Genomic DNA, 22,499 nt, shown 5'->3' with positions numbered 1-22,499 from the left:
AAGGCCAGAGTGGCTCTAATGGGAGACAAGAGATAAACACTCATTATAATTCCCAAAGGTAATCAGCCCAGAGCCTGAAGTCAAAGTAAAAGAACAGATTATTTGGATTAATTTACATTTCTGAGGGTAAGTGATCCTTTCTCAATTCTGTCCCTCCCACCCATTAGCTGATTCCATTTGGTTTTGGCCCCACCATATGATTATAAAGGAAATAATCAAAATATAGCAATTTTTCCTCCAAAGGAGTTTTAATGCCAAAATGAGTGAGAGTTCTGTCTTAAAAATGAAACTGAGTGGCCAGGCATGGTGGCTAACGCCTGTAATCCCAGCACTTTGGGAGGCTGAGGGGGGGCGGATTGCCTGAGCTCAGGAGTTCAAGACCAGCCTGGGCAACACAGCGAAACCCCGTCTCTACTAAAAATACAGAAAATTAGCTGGGCATGGTGGTGCACGCCCATAATCCCAGCTACTCAGGAGGCTGAGACAGGAGAATCCTGGGAGGCGGAGGTTGCAGTGAGCTGAGATCATGCCACTGCACTCCAGCCTGGGCGACAGAGTGAGACTCTATCTCAAAAACAAACAAACAAAAAAGTGAAACTGAATGTTTTCAATCCTCTAAACTATAATAGAGTTTTAATATAGTATATTTTAAATGTTTAATATTTTCTGGGAAAAGAACAAATAAATAGAGATGAAGACCATCAGAGGATTGTAGAGTGCTGTCTTCTGGTTGTCTCTTGACATACTCCCTGTGTGCTCTCAGACACACCCCGGGGACTTACACTACCATTTGTCTGTAGAGGAGACCCAAGCCTATATCTCATCAATAGATTACTAATATCTTTCCCAATTCTAAATGATTTCAGTCATGCTGTGCCATTTATTAGCTCCTCAACCTTGAACAAGTAATTTATAATCTCCTTGAATTTTATTTTTCTCACCTGTAATATGAGGACGTGTGTGCATATATATTTGATCACAGTTGGCCCCTGGCATTGCTTATTAGTATTAAGAAAAGAATACATTGATCTGTAGATCTTGTTTGGAGCCTGAATTAAACAAACTAACTCTAAAACACACAAATTTTGAGACAGCCTGCGGAATTTGAAAGGAGAAAAGATATTTAATGATACTTAAATTACATTTAATTTTTAAAGGGTGATTATGATATTACTGTTACTTTTTTTTTTTTTTTAACTTGAGATGGGGTCTCAGTATATCGCCCAGGCTGGTCTTGAACTCCTGCCTCAAGTGATCCTCCTGTTACTGGAGTGGGTCTCGATCCAGATCCCGAGAGAGGGTTCTTGGATCTTGTGCAAGAAAGAATTCAGGGCGAGTCCATAGAGTAAAGTAAAAGCAAGTTCATTAAGAAAGTAAAGGAATAAAAAATGGCTACTCCATAGACAGAGCACCCCGAGGGCTGCTGGCTGCCCATTTTTATGGTTATTTCTTGATGATATGCTAAACAAGGGGTGGATTATTCATGTCTCCCCTTTTTAGACCATATAGGGTAACTTCCTGATGTTGCCATGGAATTTGTAAACTGTCATGGCACTAATGGGAGTGTAGCAGTGAGGACGACCAGAGGTCACTCTCATCGCCATCTTGGTTTTGGTGGGTTTTGGCCGGCTTCTTTACTGCAAGCTGTTTTATCAGGAACGTCTTTATGACCTCTATCTTGTGCCGACCTCCTATCTCATCCTGTGACTTAGAACAAGTAAGTGTCTGGGAATGCAGCCCTGTAGACTTCAGCCTTATTTTACTCAGCCCCTACTCAAGATGGAGTTGCTCTGGTTCAGACACCTCTGACGCTCCCACCTCAACCTCCCAAAGTGCTGGGATTACAGGCATGAGCCACCACATCTAGCCTATTACTGTTATTTTATTTTATTTCATTTTTTGAGACAGGGTCTCACTTTTGCCAACGAGGCTGGATGTGGTGGTACAAACACCGTTTGCTGCAGCCTCGACTTCCCAGGCTCAAGTGATCCTCCCATTTCAGCCCCCAAAGCAGCTGGGACTACAGGCTATATTACCATTATTTTTAAAAAGATTCTTTATCCTTTAGAGATATATGCTGAAGTATCTTTGGATCAAATGATATGATGTCTTCAAATGATATGATTAGCTTTAAAAGAGTCTAAGTATAGGAGGTCAGGACCAGCATGTATAGATAAAACAAGATTGGCCACATGTACATGACTGTTGAAATTGAGTGATTCAAGAGATCTTTGCTATTCTTTTTATTTGTGCATATTATTGAAATTTCTTTTTATAAAATTGGATTTATGTACTTGGTTTTATCGACAGGACCTCGCTCTGTCACCCAGGCTGGAGTGCAGTGGTGTGATCATGACTCACTGCAGTCTCTACCTCCTGGGCTCAAGTGATCCTCCTGCCTCAGCCACCTGAGTAGCTGGGACTACAGGTGCACACCACCACACCAGGCTAATTTTTTTTCATTTTTCCTAGAGACAGGGGTCTCAGTATACTGCCCAGGCTGGTCTGGAAGTCCTGGTCTCAAGTGAACCTCCTGCCTCAGCCTCCGAATGCTCTGGGATTACAGGCATGAGCCACTCTGCCTGGCTTTGACATTTCTTATAATTAAAAAAAAAAAAAGCAAGTACAATACAAAATAAGAATATATGTAAATATATGGAATATATGGAATTAATATCTATATTATTTTTACACAAACATCATAGTATAAAAATATCTAAACACACAGAATATGAAATCATAATACTATCACCCAAAAATACAGTCAGCCCTCAGTATCTGCCAAGTTCTGCATCCCGGGATTCTTCCCTTTTCTTTTTTCTACACCATCGGGAAATCAAAGTCTGCATCCCAGGATTCAACAATCACTAGTGGAATATTTTCCATCAGCTGAGGCAGAATCCACCCATATTGAGGCAAACTGTAAGGGATTTGAGAATCCGTCTGAATTTTGTTATCCAAGGGAGTCCTGGAGCCAATCCTCTGCAGATACCGAAGGATGATTGTAATCATATTCTAAAGTATGTATATTGAGACATTCTTTTTTTTTTTTTTTTTTTTTTTAGAGAGGGAGTGTCGCTGTGTCACCCAGGCTAGGGTGCAGTGGTGCTATCATTGCTCACTGCAGCCTCAAGCTCTTGGGTTCAAGCAATCCTCCCTCTTCAGCCTCCCAAGTAGCTGGTATTACAGGCATGGACCACCATTCTGGCTAATTTTTTTTAATTATAGAGACAGTCTTGCTAAGTTTTCCAGGCTGGTCTTGAACTCCTGGGCTCAAGAGATCCTCCAGCCTCAGCAGCAGTATATTTTTTCAAAAAGTATATTATAAACCTCTTTCTAGAGAATACATTTAGTACTTTCTCTATATATATTATATATATATAAAATACTCTATTTAGTACCTCTTAGGGTCATACAGCATCATGTAAGTACAGTATAATTTATTAAATTACTCTCAATATTTAGGCTGTTTTAAAATTTTGGGAAAAGTTCCTTGCAACTTCAGCAAGGATTTCCTTCCTTCCTTCCTTTTTCTTTCTTTCTTTCTTTTTTTTTTTTTTTTGAGTTGGAGTTTCATTCTCGTTGCCCAGGCTGGAGTGCAGTGGCGATTCTCCTGCCTCAGCCTCCCAAGTAGCTGGGATTACAGGCATGCACCACCACGGCCGGCTAATTTTTGTATTTTTAGTAGAAACGAGGTTTCTCCATGTTGGTCAGGCTGGTCTTGAACTCTTGAGCTCAGGCAATGTGCCCACCTCGGCCTCCTGAAGTGCTAGGATTACAGGCGTGAGCCACCGCGCCTGGCGTGAGCTACAGTCTCGACACCGCACTCCAGCCTGTGCAACAGAGACCTGTCTCTAAGTTTTATATATAAATAGAATTTACATATAAGGAAGAGACTTCCAAGGCAGCCTTGTTTACCTATGGTCCATTATGCACAACATTCAGTATAATCAGCAGCCCGAAAACCAAACAGACCCAAGGATAAAAAATGCAAATCAATGTTTGGAAGATCTTGAATTTTTGTGTCCAAAGAAATCTGTGTTATTTAATACCAAAATATCCCATTAGCTTTCTACATTCTTCCTGTGTTTCCAAAAAGGCAGGGAGGTGATGGGTGTTTTCCTTGTGTCCTGAATCCTTGTCAGTTAAATGATTTCTCTCAACCAGCTTACACCTGTAGGAAGTAAGCAGTAAGTCTAGATTCCAACCCATGTAATCCAAATAGTTGAATCTAAATAGTTTGCTGTTTTTACAGCTCCAGTCTGCCCAAGTAGAGCGATTTGGGGTGCCCAGCGTGTGAGAGGGAGGAAAAGAGAAAATGGGGCCTGGAGGGATGGGTGGTCATTAAGTGTGGGAGGGAAAAAATGCAGTTAACTTGATAGGAAGAGGGGCCTTCGGGGGCGGGGAGCCAGCAGAGGGCCGGACATGCCATCTTCTCACCTACAGAAATGAAATAGGGCCAGCTAGGCAGCCAGTCTTCCCACTCCCTCTGAGTGTCCTATTTGTATCTTTTCCCCTCCAGGGTCAAAGATCTTTACTTTAAAACACAACACTTTCTTCAGTGCCCTGGGCTGTGTCCTGTGGCATTCCTTTCATTAGTTTCAATTGTTTATAAACAATTACAAGATACTATGTTTCAATTGTTTATAAACAATTACAATTTCAATTAGTTTCAATTGTTTATAAACAATTACAAGATACTATGTTGAGTACAAGATAATATGCTAACTAAGGCTTTGGTCAAACGATTGGATAGCTTCGGCCTCTGCTTTCACTGAGGAGGGCATTTATAAATCTAGTCACAGGACAGACACTGCAAGAGCCATTTTACTAGGTGTCCTGAGTGTTTTTTTTGTTGTTGTTTGTTTGTTTGTTTTCAGACAGGGTCTCACTCTATTGCCTCACCTGCGTGCTGGAATACGGTGGCACAATTAGGGCTCATTGCAGCCTCTTCCAAATCCCAGTCTCAAGTGATCCCCCGACCTCAGCCTCCTGAGTAGCTGAGACTACAGGCATGGGCCACCATGCCTGGCTAATTTTTTCCATGTTTTTGTAGAGGCAGGGGTCTCACTATGCTGCCCAGGGTGATCTCTCTAACTCCTGGGCTCAAGAGATTTCCCTGTGGCCTCCTAAAGTGTTGAGATTATAGGCATGAACCGTTGCACCCCGCAGTCCTGGGTGTTCTGATACCGCAGAACAGTGGACTACAGGAGCAGATGACAGGCTTACCTCCCCTAGTGTGACCCAGCTTCCTGGGGAAATGGCTAAGATCAAGCTAAGGCCTCACTCTAAGTCAGCGGTAACCAATCTTTTGGCTTCCCTGGGCCACATTGGAAGAATTGTCGTGGGCCACACATAAAATACATTAACACTAACAAACAGCTGATGACCTTAAAAAAAATGCAAAAATGGGCCGGGCACGGTGGCTCACGCCTGTAATCCCAGCACTTTGGGAGGCTGAGGCAGGCAGATCACAAGGTCATGAGTTCAAGACCACCATGACCAACGTGGTGAAACCCCATCTCTACTAAAAATACAAAAATTAGCCGGGTGTGGTGGCAGCATGCCTGTAATCCCAGCCACTCAGGAGGCTGAGGTAGGAGAATCGCTTGAACCTGGGAGGTGGAGGTTGCAGTAAGCAAAGACGCAGAGGACACGGAGGTTGCAGTGAGCTGAGACTGCGCCACTGAACTCCAGCCTGGGTGACAGAGCTAGACTCTCTCAAAAAATAAATAAATAAATGAATGCAAAAAATCTCATGTTTTAAGAAAGTTTACAAATTTATGTTGGGCTGCACTCAAAGCTGTTTTGGGACGCATGCAGCCTGTGGATTGCGGGTTGGACAAGCTTGATCTAAGTAGTGATCATCTGGGTAAAGGAGACTAGAGTTGTACAGCACGTATAACGGTAACTTTGTGCCGTTTTACCAGCATCTCCCCACTCTCCCGCCTCCCAGCCCCTAGTGACTACCATTCTCCCTGCTTCTATGTATTCAATCTTCTTAGATTTCACATATATGTGAGATCACACCATAGTTTTATTTATTTATTTTTTGTTTTGCTTTTGAGACGGAGTCTCGCTCTGTCACTCAGGCTGGAGTGCAGTGGCGTGGTCTCGGCTCACTGCAACCTCTGCCTCCCAGGTTCAAGCGATTCTCCTGCCTCAGTCTCCGGAGTAGCTGGGTCTACAGGCGCATACCACCACGCCTGGCTAATTTTTGTATTTTTAGTAGAGACGGGGTTTCACCATGTTGGCCAGGATGGTCTCGATCTCTTGATCTCGTGATCCACCCTCCTCAGCCTCCCCAAGTGCAGGGATTACAGGCGTGAGGCACCACGCCCAGCCACCATAGTTTTATTTCTGTGTCTGGCTTATTTCATTCAGCCTAATGTCCTCCAGGTCCACCCATGTTGTCACAAATGACAATATCTCCTTTTTTTTTTTTTTTTTTTGGCTGTAAGTTTATTCAGTGCAAAATAATCTTCTCCAATTTTACTGAGGTGGCTGACCACGTCCACGACCAAATCCGCCTCTAAACTGGAATTCGGTTGCTGACCCAGCCCCAGCCTCAGCTTTCTTGTTGGCACCAGGGGGCACAGCACTCCGTCGGTAGGTATCTCTGTCGGCTTCCCCTCTTGTGAGTCTTGCAGGTCTCTCACCCTACAGATCTTTAGGCCGAGGCCTGCCGCTCTCTGGACGGCTGCGGCGTAGAGTGGCAGGCCCAATCTCTTGGGGGTAGATGAAGGTAATCATGGAGATACCTTACCTCATTGGTAAGGTACCAGTAGAAATGTCTCCAGGCCTGGTGGCTCATGCCTGTAATCCCAACATTTTGGGAGGCTGAGGTGGGCAGATCACCTAAGATTGGGAGTTCGAGACCAGCCTGACCAACATGGAGAAACCCCGTCTCTACTAAAAATACAAAATCAGCCGGGCTTGGCGGCCAATGTCTGTAATCCCAGCTACTCCGGAGGCTGAGGCAGGAGAATCGCTTGAACCTGGGAGGTGGAGGTTGTGATGAGCCGAGATCGCGCCACTGCACTCCAGCCTGGGCAACAGAGTGAGACTCCATCTCAAAATAAAGAAATAAATAAAATAAAAATAAATAAATACATAATTTAAAAATCCCATATTTCCATCAATCAGCATTCAACATTCATCAGGATTTCACTAATTCCTGTTTTCTCCTCCCTTTAATTGCTGTCAATGGGGGGAAGTACCCACTCCAACAAATATGGGTATAATCTTAAATAAACTTTATTATATTTAACAAAACAAGCAATGCTTCCTCCTTGGTATCATTTTATACTTAATATGTATTGAAAATTCCCCAAGTGCCTCATAAAATGTCTTTTTGGCTGGGCGCCGTGGCTTATGCCTGTAATCCCAGCACTTTGGGAGGCTGAGTTGGGTGGATCACCTGAGGTCAGGAGTTCAAGACCAGGCTGGGCAACATGGTGAAACCCCATCTCTACTAAAAATACAAAAATTAGCTGGGCGTGGTGGCACGTGCCTGTAATCTCAGCTACTTGGGAGGCTGAGGCAGGAGAATCGCTTGAGCCTGGGAGGCAGAGGTTGCAGTGAGCCTAGATTGTGCCATTGCACTCCAGCCTAGGTGACAGAGCAAGACTCCATCTCAAAATAAAATAAAATAAAAAAATAAAATAAAATAAAATAAAATGTCTTTTTAAAGTTGGTTTGTTCAAATCTGGATTGAAAGAAGTTTTATGTTTTACATTTAGAAATTTTATTGGTTTCAACTAAAAATATATCATTGCCTTGTTGAGGAGAGTAGGTAACTGTCCTGTATTATTTCACACATTTATGTGTCATTTCCTGGGTCACTTAACTTATTCCTTGACCCCCATATTTTCTGTAAACTGAGAGCTAGTTACAAAGGCTTGCTAAATTCAGATTCAACTTTTTTTTTTTTTTTTTTTTTTTTTTGAGAGGGAGTCTCGCTCTGTCACCCAGGCTGGAGTGCAGTGGCGCGATCTCGGCTCACTGCAAGCTCCGCCCCTCGGGTTCACGCCATTCTCCTGCCTCAGCCTCCTGAGTAGCTGGGACTACAGGCGCCCGCCACCACGCCCGGCTAATTTTTTATTGTATTTTTTTAGTAGAGATGGGGTTTCACCGTGTTAGCCAGGATGGTCTCGATCTCCTGACCTCGTGATCAACCCGCCTCAGCCTCCCAAAGTGCTGGGATTACAGGCGTGAGCCACCGCAACAAGAATAATTCATAGATGATGTAGTGTGTAGTTGACTCTTGAACAACATGGGTACAAGCTGAGCAGATCCACTTACACAGATTTTATTCTGCGTCTGCTACCTGAGACCAACTTCTCCTTTTCTTCCTCAGCCTACTCAACGTGAACATGATGAGGATGAAGACCTTTATGATCTACTTCCACTTAATGAATAGTAAATATATTTTTCCTATGATTTCTTTCCTTTTTTCTTTTTTGAGACAAGGTTTCACTCTCTCACCCAGACTGGAGTGCAGTGGCGCAATTATAGTTCACTGCAGCGTTGGCCTCCTGGGCTCAAGTGATCCTCCTGCCTCAGCCTCCCAAGTAGTTGGGACGACAGGTGCTCACCACCATGCCTGGCTAATTTTTAAAATTTTTTGTAGAGGTAGCATCCCACTATGTTGTTCAGGTTGGTCTCAAATTCCTGGGCTCAAGTGACCTCCCATAGTGCTGGGATTACAGGTGTGAGCCTCTGTGTCCAGCCTTCAGCATTTTTTTTTTTTAATTTTTTGCCTTCCTGAGCTGTAAACATCCATTTTTAATAAGGGTTTAACTCTCTCATACCATAAGCAGGGCTTGGTTGCCCTTAATACTGTTACCAGTTTTCTACTTCTGTTCCTCAGTGTATTTGATCCAGGTATCTGCCTTATACAACAGCCTCCTGGTGACCACCTCCCTAATGGGACATGTAGATAAAACCTACTTGACTCACTCCACTGACCTGCACAACCCACAGGGACTGTACACATTTGCTGCAAGGACTACCTCTCATACAGTGTGACCCCACAGAACTCATGTCTGCTTATCCCAAATCCACCAACTAGAATGTCCCTTGGGAAATGCACTGGACCGCAGTAAAGGCCTTGGCCCATTGGTCTCTCTCTCTCTCTGGCTCCTCAACTGCTAGGTGAGCAGCACTGCCCCTGCAGCCTTCTCATCAGCCCTCAACAGTACCATCTTCTCTCATGGACCTGTAATAAAACTGTTTCTGTTATTTAACGTGTTTTTGTTGCGTTGCCTCCTCTGTGTCAAACTCTACCAACACATGGACTTAACTTTTCTCCTGGTCAGGGCTCTCCTACAGAGTGGAGAATAAGACTACAGAGTCTTGGCATGAATAAGCTGGAAATAGGTCCGACAAGAGCCACAAGGGTGTTTGCCAGTATAAACAAGTTTCCTATGAGAGGGACTCCTGGTCACAGATTGGACACTTAGGCATTAGGCCATCCACCAGGATAAAGAAATATCCCATCAAAGGCACCCTGTAAATATCCACTACCAAATCCCCTGGAGTTGAGGTAGGACAGGGCTGGAGCATATAGCCACTCTCTGGAGAAACCCCAAGATCAAATTAGAGGAAATATACTTACTCTCTGAACTTACTCCAGTATTTTTCTTCACTCACTACTTGTCACTGGCTTCCTTGCAATTACAGCTTGACAGTCCCTTCCCCATACACTTTCTCAAGCCATTCACTCTGAAATGAAATTTGATGAGGATGCTATTTCCAAGCCTACTCCCTCAACTGTTTGCTCAGATTCCACATTCTCCAAGATACCTACCCTGACCACCCACTTCACATAGCTAACTCTCCTTCATGCACAGCACTCTCATACAGGTGACATTGACCTACTTTTCCCTGTCACCACAGTATCTGATCAGCATCTAACACACTATAGCAATTCTTTGTGTTTATTATTTTATTGTTTCCTTTCTCCCCTCCAGGAAGTATGCCGCTTAAGGATGGAAACCTTTGTTTCGCTCATCTAATACAATTCCAAATTGAAGGCAGACGTTGAGCATCCCTAATCAAAAAACATGAAATCCAAAATGCTCCATAATCTGAAACATTGAGCGCTGCCATGACACCCAAGTGGAAAATTCCACACCCGACACCTTTGCTTTCTGAGGGTTCAATGTACACAAACTTTGTTTCATGCATATTATTAAAATAATTACCTGCAAGCTATGTGTATAAAATGAATTTTTTGTTTCAAATTGGGTCCCATCCCCAAGATATCTCATTGTGCATAAGCAAATATTCCAAAATCCCCCCCAAAATCAGAAAGCTGAAACACTTCTGGTTCCAAGCATTTTGGATAAGGGATACTAAACTAAGCTTTGATTACTCAGTAAAATAAACAAAGTTCAAACACTAGGGCTATAAAAGATCATAATCCTTTGATTATGAAAAACAGTGGTATCCAAGCATCAAGAATCAGACTGATATCAGACTTGTCAAAACCATCAAGTTTTAAAAATTAAAATGATTCCAAATATTCTCTTTAACTGTCACCTAAATATGAGAAAAGTCATTTGCAAACTAGTTGTCTGCTAAACTTTATAACGCTGCAACATTTGGGTTGATGGCACCCCAAAATGAAAAGATAAAGAGGAAAACAGAGGCTTAAACCAAGAAATAATCCAAGAGCAGAGGTCAATTCCTAGAATGGTAGTGACTGGAAGTGTACTGGCCTAGTGTAGTTGGTCTAGATTGGCAGGTGATATACAGAAAGAAAAAAATTGCTGTTAGAGATTATTTATGGATTGTGCATAGGTAAGTATATGTGCGGAAAGGATTTAAACAAAGTGAAATCCTCATTACCCATAAAAATAAGTCAATTGTTTCAACTGAGACACACGAAAGAACAGAAACAAATTATGAGAAATATGGAGGTAAACAGAAGAATCCACTAAAAAGAAAGGTATGTGGCAAGCATGATATTCAAATAATGTATGCAACTTTAAATAATTTGCTTAACTAAAAAAAAAAATTATAGGCAATTTGAAAACATTTTATTGGACATGTTAAGTAACATAATTCTAAAATATTTTATCTTAGAAATCAAAGCACCTGACAATTGATATTCATAGAATATATGAAAGTGGCATTATGAACATCTTATAGTTGCCAAAAATTTAGGAGAAAAATCGACTCTGGTTTTCAGTGGTAAAACTTAAAGAGTCCAGAAATGAGATTAAATTTACTGGCTAAGTTACCTACAAAAACTGAAACAGACCCATTTACCAGTTCCTTATCTTTCAGAATCTGATACTGAGCAGATTTTAAGAGGTTCGGAATCTGTTCCAGTATAGAAATAAGGCCAAACGGCTTCTGTGAAACAATCGTTAAAAGTATAGAGAATAGACCTATCATTCATATTATAAAAGGAAAGATCACCCAATTCATAGTCCAGAAAAATACCAATTTTACTGGGTTTTACTACTGGCAGAAGCTGGGTTGTCTTAGGACCTGACGCAACATAACCACTCTTCATGTATCGCCCAATTGCCCAGAATCCGCCCAGAACTGATGGCTGATCCTGCCAGTTCCTAAGAAGACAGTCTTGACACACACCCAATATCCATTTAGGTTTGTTTCCCACTTCTACTTCCCAGTAATGTCGGCCAGAACTAAATCTCTGAGAGCCTAGGACAGCAGGGCAGACATAAAATCTCCTTGGGTCATAACAAATGTTTCGTTTTTTTCTTTCATATCGCACAGCTTTTCTATCCTCAGAGACAAGAAGTTGAGGATGTGCTGTGTTGAGATCTAGAATCACATCTACTTGAAATGGCTTGATAATTCTGTCCAAGCCAGAATATTGAGGAGGAAGACTGAAACCATATTTTGTTAATCTAAATGAAAAGAGTTCAGGGCATTTTAGGTTTTGATACTTGTGGTGCATACTCTTAGCTTGTGTCAGTAATTCCAGGTTTGACTGCACAGACTTGCCCTCTACCTCCCTCAGTAGATGTTTTAATGTGGAAACATAATCTGAAAGTTCTACAAGGTTTTCATTTAGTTTTGCTAAAATGTTCATCTCTTCATCTTGTATCTGCCTAAGAATCATCTCTTGTTCATTCTGTAAAAACAATCTTATTTGCTCAAACTCAGAATTTATTTCTTCCCTCTTATATTCTACCTTCTTTTTCAGCTCCACTGATTTGCTGCCTTGCAGAATTATCACTTTTTCAACTCGTTCTATATTATTCCTCAAGGGCTCAAGGCTACCTTCTAGAATTTCTCTGTGATAAGAGGCAGCTTTCTTAATAGGGCAAATGTAGTGCTTCTGGTGTTTAGTGGAGAAACTGCACTGTGTACATAAGATCTCTAGATCTTTAACACAGAAGAGGGTCAGAAACTGGTTGTGTTTTTCACACATGGCATTCTCTTTCTGCCTCTTTCTCTTGCTCCTCCTAATCTGGAGTTGTTTAGCAATTTCAGTCAAATTACGGAGCTGGGGGTTCCTCCTGAAGCTCTTGTATGGAAAGCAAAAACGGCAGACAGGACAGGGAAAGGTATCATCTAGATCCTTCCAGGATACACTGAGGCAGGAGCGACAGAAGTTGTGCCCACAGTTGATGGTCACTGGGTCTTTCAAGTACTCCAGACAGATGGGACAGCTAGACTCCTCTTGGAGGTTCACCAGGGCTGTCACAAACTCCATCGAGCTGCGAACAAAGGTAATGCATAAGGTAACCTCCCTTTGATCAGTCCTGCCTCCGTAGAGCGCAAACCCAGTGAGAAGTGGATACCCCTCCCAGACCTTGTAGATTGATCAGGTTTAGGTTTCACTAGCCTAGCATGCTGGTGGCACCCACTGAAGTCTTGTTTAGTCCACTGCTCCTTAGCTTGGAGGATAATAATATAATAATTCAAAGCTTACAGCTCTATTATACATGAGCCCGTCTGAATCTTTTTTTTTTTTTTTTTTTGAGACGGAGTCTCGCTCTGTCGCCCAGGCCGGACTGCGGACTGCAGTGGCGCAATCTCGGCTCACTGCAAGCTCCGCTTCCCGGGTTCACGCCATTCTCCTGCCTCAGCCTCCCGAGTAGCTGGGACTACAGGCGCCCGCCACCGCGCCCGGCTAATTTTTTGTATTTTTAGTAGAGACGGGGTTTCACCTTGTTAGCCAGGATGGTCTCGATCTCCTGACCTCATGATCCACCCGCCTCGGCCTCCCAAAGTGCTGGGATTACAGGCGTGAGCCACCGCGCCCGGCCGAGCCCGTCTGAATCTAAGTGTAATGATTTTCTTCTTCAATAAACTAGCCACAGGTTATAATACAGCGGTCATCCCTGTGGATGAGAAAAGATTTTTAATTTCAAAATCTCCTGGATTTGGAATCACAATATAATAACTGGTTCAGGCAAGAATCATCACTAACTGTAAAAACTACTGGGTAAAATTTTATGGGGGAATGATATTCACATTCTCAAAATTTTACTCTAGGATTATATTTTAATTACAAAGAGAAAAATAAGTACCTTTATAATGTAGAGAATACCACCTTAACCAATGATGGGGCAAACTGATGACCTGCAATGGGGAGCAAAGCATTACCATCTATAGAGAACTTTTGCAGAATATATATATAAAATAAATAAAATTCTACTATATGTAATTGTGTATTATATATAAAATTCTATTATATATAACATACAATTGCTATTATTTTTTGAGATGGAGTTTCGCTGCCACCCAGGCTGGAGTGCAATGGCACGATCTTGGCTCACTGCAACCTCTGCCTGCCAGGTTCAAGTGATTCTCCAGCCTCAGCCTCCCAAGAAGCTGGGATTAAGGCGCCTACCACCACGCCTGGCTAATTTTCATAGTTTTGGTAGAGACGGGGTTTCATGCTGGCCTCAGACTCCTGACCTCATGTGATCTGCCCTCCTTGGCCTCCCCAAAGTGCTGGAATTACAGGTGTGAGCCACCGCACCTGGCCTATAATATAAAACTATATATAAAAATGTATGTATGTATATATAACAATGAAGAAATCCAAATCATACAAGATTCAACACGAAAATGGTTCTCAACAGCACAAATGACAACAGTGCTGGGAAAAAAAGCAGGCTTTTTTTTTTTTTTTTTTTGAGACAGGGTCTTTCTGTGTCACCCAAGCTAGAGTGCAGTGGTATGACCATGGTTCTTTGCAGCCTCAGCCTGCAGAGTAACCACGACCACAGGCTTGTGCCACCAGGCCCAGCTAATTTTTAAAATATTTTGTAGAGATGGGGGTCTGTGTTGGCCAGGGTGGTTTTGAACAATCCTCCCACCTTGGCCTCCCAAAGTGCTGGGATTATAGGTGTGAGCCACTATGCCCAGCCTGTTTCCTTACATATGAGGGGAAAAAAAATGTAATTCATTCTCTTAGCTTGAATTCTAGACTGGGAAAAAAAAGTTGCAATAAAGTAGATAGTATAGGACAAATTGAAAAAATGGAGTATGTACTATTTATTAGATATTAGTAATACATCAAAGTTAGGCTTCCTGAATTTCCTAACTGCACCATAGCTGCAAAAGAAAATGTCCTCATTCTTAGGAAATACATGCTTAAATATATACTGGTGAAGGGGTCATGATCTTTATAAACACCTCTCTTTTCCTTCGGGTCACCTCACAAATCCTATCTGCTGCTCATCAATCTGACTGCCTCCCACCCCACCCTCTAGTCTCTCACTATCCCATCTCTTTACTTTCATAGAACTCAATCATAATCTGAGATTCTTTTCTTCAGGTATTTGTCTTTTGGCCTTAGCTGGTGAATGAGATAGACTGGAAGTAGGTACTTAGTCTACCTTATTCATAGGGAGGTAGTAGAAAATCAGTAAAGATCTTCAAGAAAGTGAATCATGAACAAGTGGATACATGAATGAATAAAATCCAAAAATAATACAAATAGAGAATAATGTCAATGTTACAAAAGATAAAATTTAGGTTGGGAAACTGTTCAAAATTAAAAGAGAGCTCCACTGCACTCAGCCCATTTCAGAATTATTCTAATATGAATAGAATCATTCATCTTAGATTTAATGAAACAGGAGCTAGGCACATTGGCTCACACCTGTAATCCCAGCACTTTGGGAGGCTGAGGCAAGAAAATTGCTTGAGCCCAGGAGGTGGTGGCTCATGCCTGTAATCTCAGCAATTTGTGAGGCCAAGGCAGGCAGATCACGAGATCAAGAGACGGAGACCATCCTGGCCAACATGGTGAATCCCCATCTCTACTAAAAAATATAAAAACTAGCTGGGCATGGTGGCACATGCCTGTAGTCCCAGCTACTCAGGAGACTGAGGCAGGAGAATTGCTTGAACCCGGGAGGCAGAGGTTGCAGTGAGCCAAGATCCCGCCACTGCACTCCAGCCTGGCAACAAAGCGAGACTTAGCAAAAACAAAACAAAACAAAACAAAAAAAGTATAATGATTTGATAGGCGTATCCAAAGTCCTAATACTAACTGGTGTGACTACTGGTGTGATACTAAATCACTAAGCACGCTATCCGTTTTTTTGTTTGTTTGTTTTGTTTCGTTTTGAGACAGTTTTGCTCTCGTTGCCCAGGCTGGAGTGCAATGGTGCAGTCTCGGCTCACTGCAACCTCCGCCTCCTGGGTTCAAGCGATTCTCCTGACTCAGCCTCAAGTAGCTGGGACTACAGGCACACACCACCACGCCTGGCTAATTTTTGTATTTTTAGTAGAGATGGGGTCTCACCATGTTGGCCAGGCTGGTCTCGAACTCCTGACCTCAGGTGATCCACCCACCTCAGCCTCCCAAAGTGCTGGGAACTGGGATTACAGGCGTAAGCCACTGTGCCCAGTCTTTTTTTTTCTTTTTTCTTTTTTTTTTTTTTTGAGACAGAGTCTCACTCTTGTCTCCCAGGCTGGAATGCGATGGCACGATCTCGGCTCACTGCAACCTCTGCCTCCCAGGTTCAAGCGATTCCCCTGCCTCAGCCTCCCCAGTACCTGGAATTACAGGTGCCTGCCACCATGACCGGCTAATTTTTGTATTTTTAGTAGAGACGGGGTTTCGCCATGTTGGCTGGGCTGGTCTTGAACTCCTGACCTCAAGTGCTCTGCCTGCCTCAGTGTCTCAAAGTGAGACAGATGAGAAAGTCTCTACAGATGTGAGCCACCACGCCCGGCCTAAGCACACCATCTTTTCTTCTATTCACATTAGTGCATAGCCTTGAAAACCTTTATGAAAGTGCTTCATATAGTGTTCTGTTTAACCCACCTGGATGGACATCCACAATTTGTCACTATATCAAATAATCTAATGAGGGGGAAATTAAGATTTTTTAAACTTAAAAAAACAAGCAAACATGTAAGATGATGTAAACAGATATCACACAAATTATTAGGTAGCGGTCTCTAATGAGATGGGTGTTTCACTCCAACATTCACTTACCTACATCTATATGTCATTGATCAACTAACTTAATTTCTCTGAGTTTGTTTCTATTTCAGAAAGCTGAAAGCATTAAATGAAAAAAAAATGTAAGGATGTTACAGTGCCTGACCCAGAACAGATGCTCACCAAGTGGTATTGTGCGGAAGAATGAGCACAGCAGGCCTAAGACTGCCACCCTTAGAAGGTTGCTTGCAAGGCTGCTACTTGGCTCTTGTCTGGCAACTTTGATTTCCAGAATTTATAAGGAACTTATGAGGAAATGGATCCTGCCATTCCCTTATAAGAAGGGCTCACTATTGGTCGGGTGCATGGCTCACACCTGTAATCCCAGTACTTTGGGAGGCCAAGGCGGGCAGATCACCTGAGGTCAGGAGTTCAAGACCAGCCTAGCCAACATGATGAAACCCTGTCTCTACTAAAAATACAAAAACTAGCTGGGTGTGGTGGCACATGCCTGTAATCTCAGCTACTTGGGAGGCTAAGGCAGGAAAATCGCTTGAACCCAGGAGGCGGAGGTTGCAGTGAGCCAAGATAGTACCATTGCACTCCAGTCTGGGCAACAGGAGCAAAACTCTGTCTAAAAAAAAAAAAGAAAGAAAAAAAGAAAAAAGAGTGGCTTACTACACCTACAGTGTTTATACAAACAATGAGGTTTATGATGAATAGCTGCTTTCCTTCTGAGAAACTAGAATTTTGATATAAGCTAGGAAGGAGCCTGCATGATCTCTTCCCAATAAAAATTCCGGAAAGACAAATCTTCAATGAGCATCTTTGGTATGTAACAGTTCACTCATTTATCACTTTGTCTTCAGAGAAACTAAGCAGGTCCTGTGTGACATCACGCAGAGCGGACTTTTGGAAGCTTACGCTTGGTTTCATCCAGACTTCATCCCACACACCATTTTCCTTTGCTGATTTTGCTTTGTATCCTTTCACTATAATAAACCATAATTGTTGGCCAGGCACGGTGGTTCGCATCTGTAATCCCAGCACTTTGGGAGGCTGAGGCAAGAGATCAATTGAGGCCAGACACTCAAGACCAGTCTGGGCAACAGAGCAAGACCTCATCTCTACAAAATTTTATGAAAATCAGCCAGGCATGGTGGCATGTCCCTATAGTGCCAGCACTGAGAAGGCTGGGGTGAGAGGATTCCTTGAGCCCAGGAGTTCAAGGCTTCAGTGAGTCATGATTGTGCCATTATACTCCAGTCTGGGTGACAGAGAGAGATACCTCAAAAAAATTAAGTTATAACCTCAAATAATACTATGCTGACTCCTGTGGTCATTTTAGCAAATCACCAAACCTAGGGGTGGTCTTGGGGATACTAATACAGGTATTATTACAAAATCTTATAAAATTTCCAAGTGAAAAGTGCATTTAGAAATCTAGCCAAACTGCCTACATTTATGTCATTAACTGTCGTAGTATGTATAGTATAGTACTATTTTGGTCTAAAAGCTACTATATCTCTCACTGCTCCTAATTAGAAAAGGTGTTAACTGTTCATAGCAGTAGTCGGGCAGAAAATGTCATGTACATTCCAATTTTGAAGGGACAGTAAGGTATTATTACATCTTAAAAATTATAATATTTTTCAATCATAAGGAATTAAAATAAAATAATAATGTGTCCTTTAACTCTTCCCACCTTCCAATTTAACATTTTCATAAATAACAATGTCATTGCAAAAGCTCCTAATCCTTGTTTTAACACACCATGTTTAATGGATGCTTTGGGGCTGAGTAAATTTGAAAAGGAAGTTTTAAGCATTCTGAACAAAGCTGTACAGCCAATACATTGCAAAATATGACTGGAATTTTTTAAATTATAAGAAAGAACCACATTGCTGTAAAAAAGGGTATTTCATGGACGGGCGCAGTGGCTCACGCCTGTAATCCCAGCACTTTGGGAGGCCGAGGTGGGTGGATCATGAGGTCTGGAGTTCGAGACCAGCCTGACTAACATGGTGAAACCCCGTCTCTACTAACAATACAAAAATTAGCCAGGTGTAGTGGCGTGCGCCTGTAATCCCAGCTCCTCAGAAAGGCTGGGGCAGGAGAATTGCTTGAACCCAGGAGGTGGAGGTTGCAGTGAGCCGAGATCACGCCACTGCACTCCATCCTGGGCGACAGAGTGAGAGTCATCTTAAAAAAAAAAAAAAAGTGTATTTCATTTAAAATAAAAAGGTGCAGGGAACATTCCTGCATAGATCCTGGAACTCAATGGTTCGTCCTTCCCCACACACTCCAGCTTCCCCTAACCCATCTTCCAGACTCAGGCAATGAAGTTTAAAGAACAGCATTATAAGCCACTCTTCTCAGTCCAAGCTATAAACATTAGCCTACTATAGTAACTATCTTCTGATACCTGAAGACAAGGCCCCTGTCTCCCAGCATCTATGGGAGAGTTGGGGCCTGACTTCCTTAAGTGCCAGTGAGCAAACCTGGGTGTGTTTCACATGACCCAACCACCCCTTTCCCACTTTTTGTAATTTTTCACTTCCCTGACTCTACTGAGCGCCAACTCACTACCTTCATTCCCCAGTTCCCCTTTGAAGCACTTGGTCACCTCTGTACAAATCACAGTTGAGTTCTGTTCATGCTGAATTCTCCCTATTGCAATAGTACAGTACTGATTAAAATCTGTCCTTATGACTACCCAGTGTCTGGCTTTATTTTTGACATGCTCTATCCCGTCAATCAATTCCATAACTCTATAGTTTCCAAACACAGATCTAATCCTATAACCTTCCGATTTCCAATGGAATGGCTTTTCTTACTCTTAAGTATTACAAGACTCACCAACATCTGGACTTTACTCTTTTCCTGACTCCACATATCTATCATACTGCAGATTACAGTTGAGATTTTTACATTTATTTTTGTCAACCTTTGGTTAAGGACACTGGAGAGTACAGTTCACGGTCTGAATTCTTCCTTATTTTCCTCACAACTGAATTACCAACTCTGATTCTTATGCTGGTGTACAACGTGTGTTCAATAATTATTAGGCTAATAAATCAAACCTGCAGTAGATTCCCTACTCTCAAAATTCAACCTCTACTGCTTGAGATCTTGTCACATTAAAAAAGAAAAATTCAACCTCTATTACCTTATTTATTTTACTTTTTGAGACAGGATCTCACTCTGTCGCCAAGGCTGGAGTGCAGTGGCGCGATCTCCATTCACTGCAACCTCTGCCTCCAGGCTCAAGCGATCCTCGCACCTCAGCCTCCCGAGTAGCTGGGACCACAGGCACGCCCCACCATGCCCGGATTTTTTTTTTTTTTTTTGTAGAGACAGGGGTCTCACTATGTTGCCCAGGCACGAGCGTGAGCTAGAACTCCTGGGTTCAAGCGATCCTCCCGCATCGGCCTCCTCATGGGGTTACAGGTGTGAGCCACCGCGCCTGGCTCCTACTCTGATTCTTGTGCTGGTTCATAGTGTGGGCTCAGTGAATATAAATCAAACCTGTGGGAGATTCCCAGATCTCAAGATTCAACCTCTATTACTTTAGATGATACGAAACGTAAGTGAGCCTAAACTTTCTCATCCGTAGCAGTTTCCTGACAGCCAGATCCTTGTGAGGACGGAAGGAGACAAAATCCGCCAGAGAAGTGCTGGCGCTGTAGGGTGGGAGGTCCTTCCTTAACGCTCCCACCATAATTTTTGGAGATCACGTGGCCACTTCCCAAACTGGTGTTCAGATCAGAATCTTCTTTAAAGTTCAATCATCGGGGTCCCACTGCCTCCGCGGCGAAAACAGAATCCGGCCGAGCACGGTGGCTCACGCCTGTAACCCCAGCACTTTGGAAGGCCGAGGCGGGCGGACCACCTGAGGTCGGAAGTTCGACACCAGCCTGGCCAACATGGAGAAACCTCGTCTCTACTAAAAATACAAAAATTAGCTGGGTGTGGTGGCGAGCGCCTGTAATCCCAGCTACTCAGGAGGCTGAGACAGGAGAATCGCTTGAATCCGGGAGGCGGAGGTTGCAGTGAGGCGAGATTGCGCCACTGCACTCCAGCGTGGGTGACAGAGCGAGACTCCGTCTCAGAAACAAAAAAAAGGATCCACAGTCTGAGCTCAGTCGTGGACAGGTCGCGACCCCGAGGTTTGGGCACAGCTGATACTCAGGAAGCCCCTGCCCAGTTAAGTAAGCCTCCCGCCAGGCCCTACTGCGCCTTTCCTGCGGCCCTCCCAGCTTACCTGGAGCAGTTGGACCGGCGGCTCAGGCCTGATGCTGTGCAGGACCCATGGAACCCCGCGGGGCGCAGAGCGGAAACCCTCACACAACCCTGGGCGCCTTGGTTTTCGAGTTTTAGGCATACAATTGACCAGCGCGGTGGTTGGCTGCTCCACCGGAAGTGGGCGGGAAAGGCCTGAGCATGCTCAATGCCGCAGGGTGCAGGGAGCGTGAGAAGATTCTGAGGAGAGCCTAGGGCGGTTCCCTCCGTGGTGGGGTCCCTGATGGCTTCAGTGGGTCATTTAAATCACAATGGCAATCTTTTCAGATTTTTCATTCCTATGAGCAACTTTTTTTTTTTCTTTTTTTTTGAGACAGGGTCTGGTGCGGTCTCGGCTCACTGTAGTCTCGACCATCCGGGCTCAAACGATCCTCCCACTTCACAGGCGCGCGCCACCACGCCCAGCTGATTGTTGTATTTTTTGGTGGAGACTGGGTTTCGCCACGTTCCCCGGGCTGGTCTCGAACTCATGGGCTCAAGCGATCCGCCTGCCTCGCTGTGAGCCACCGCGCCCGGCCAGGGTGGTTAGTTTTAAAATGCAAGAGGAATAATCAGCTCTTTGGATCAGTTTGCGTCTCTGGTTGAGAGGCTGCGTAGTTACCACCCTGGAGATTAGGCCCCACCCTACCAACTAAGACTCACCAAGGTCTCGTCTGAGGAATTGATATTTAAAGTAGATTTTAAGGGACGAGTATGAGTTTGTTGGACAAACTTGACGGTAAAATCTTCAAGGCTGAAGGATTAGTCCTTGTGAGGAGCCTCTTAAGTCTTATAACTTGGTAAATGAGACAGTGAAAGAGGCTAATATTTGCAGAAGAAGTCATAGAATCGGCATAGCACTTTTTTATTTATTTATTTATTTTTGAGACGGAGTCTCGCTGTGTTGCCCAGGCTGGAGTGCAGTGGCACGATCTCGGCTCACTGCAAGCTCTGCCTCCCGGGTTCACGCTGTTCTCCTGCCTCAGCCCCCCGAGTGGCTAGGACTACAGGCGCCCGACACCACGCCCAGCTAATTTTTTCTATTTTTTAGTAGAGACGGGGTTTCACTCTGTTAGCCAGGATGGTCTCGATCTCCTGACCTCGTGATCCACCCGTCTCGGCCTCCCAAAGTGCTGGGATTACAGGCGTGAGCCATCGCGCCTGGCCGGCGCACTTTTCTGTTTAAAATGTAGGGCTACTTGGCCAGGCGCGGTGGTTCACACATGCAATCCCAGCACTTTGGGAGGCCAAGGCGGGCGGATCAGCTGAGGTCGGGAGTTCGAGACCAACCTGGCTAAAGTGGCAAAACCCCGTCTCTCTAAAAATACAAAAAATTAGCCGGGCATGGTGGTGCATGCCTGTAATCCCAGCTACTCGGGAGGCTGAGGCAGGAGAAGAGCTTGGACCCGGGAGGCGGAGGTTGCAGTGAGCCAAGATCGGGTCACTGCACTCCAGCCTGGGCAATAGAGTGAGACTCAGTCTCAAAATAAAAATAAAAAATAAATAAATAAAATAACTTAGAGCTACCTTCCCAGAAAAATACCCTCTTGTGATGAAGTCTGAGATTTGATGGAAGAGTGGGAAGTAGGAACAGGGAACAATAAGTGAAATCTTCAAATCTTCACACCTTAGTGCAGAAGATGCAAACAGAGAGGATGATAAAGGCTGTGGTTGGGAGGACACTGATCTGGAGTCTGACCAATGGGATGAAGGAAAGGAAACTCTAAAGGCTTAAGGCTGAATGGGGCCAGATTCCACCATAAAATTAAACCAAAGGCTGGGCGGGTGGCTCACGCCTGTAATCCCAGCACTTTGGAAGACC

General features: G+C 43.7%; 1 protein-coding gene across 3 annotated transcripts, besides 1 other annotated feature; it reads right to left on the bottom strand.

Moving 5' to 3' along the window:
* Window positions 1–11,023: 11,023 nt before the first annotated feature.
* TRIM60 (tripartite motif containing 60) lies at window positions 11,024–20,774 on the bottom strand. Of its 3 annotated transcripts, NM_001258025.2 has the most exons (4): window positions 20,661–20,774; window positions 13,521–13,572; window positions 13,158–13,331; window positions 11,024–12,704 (listed from the first exon to the last, which is right to left on the bottom strand). In NM_001258025.2, exon 4 carries the CDS (start codon window positions 12,698–12,700, stop codon window positions 11,285–11,287), a length of 1,416 nt encoding a protein of 471 aa, NP_001244954.1. In that variant the 5' UTR covers window positions 12,701–12,704; window positions 13,158–13,331; window positions 13,521–13,572; window positions 20,661–20,774; the 3' UTR covers window positions 11,024–11,284. The 3 variants fall into 3 exon arrangements, with proteins under 3 accessions (NP_001244954.1, NP_689833.1, XP_011529985.1); NM_152620.3 differs by lacking the exon at window positions 13,158–13,331; XM_011531683.3 differs by lacking the exons at window positions 13,158–13,331; window positions 13,521–13,572.
* Window positions 20,616–21,272: an enhancer, noted in NCBI's record as "H3K27ac hESC enhancer chr4:165952653-165953309 (GRCh37/hg19 assembly coordinates)". NCBI's record gives its function as "activates a minimal SCP1, AML or CMV promoter by ChIP-STARR-seq in primed H9 embryonic stem cells {active_cell/tissue: H9 hESC(primed)}" and the evidence as "EXISTENCE:reporter gene assay evidence [ECO:0000049][PMID:30033119]".

This window comes from Homo sapiens, chromosome 4, assembly GCF_000001405.40.
Source record: "Homo sapiens chromosome 4, GRCh38.p14 Primary Assembly".
Classification (NCBI taxonomy): Eukaryota; Metazoa; Chordata; class Mammalia; order Primates; family Hominidae; genus Homo; species Homo sapiens.
Note: the sequence above shows the minus strand (reverse complement) of the source record. Positions and strands in the feature narration are given on the sequence as shown.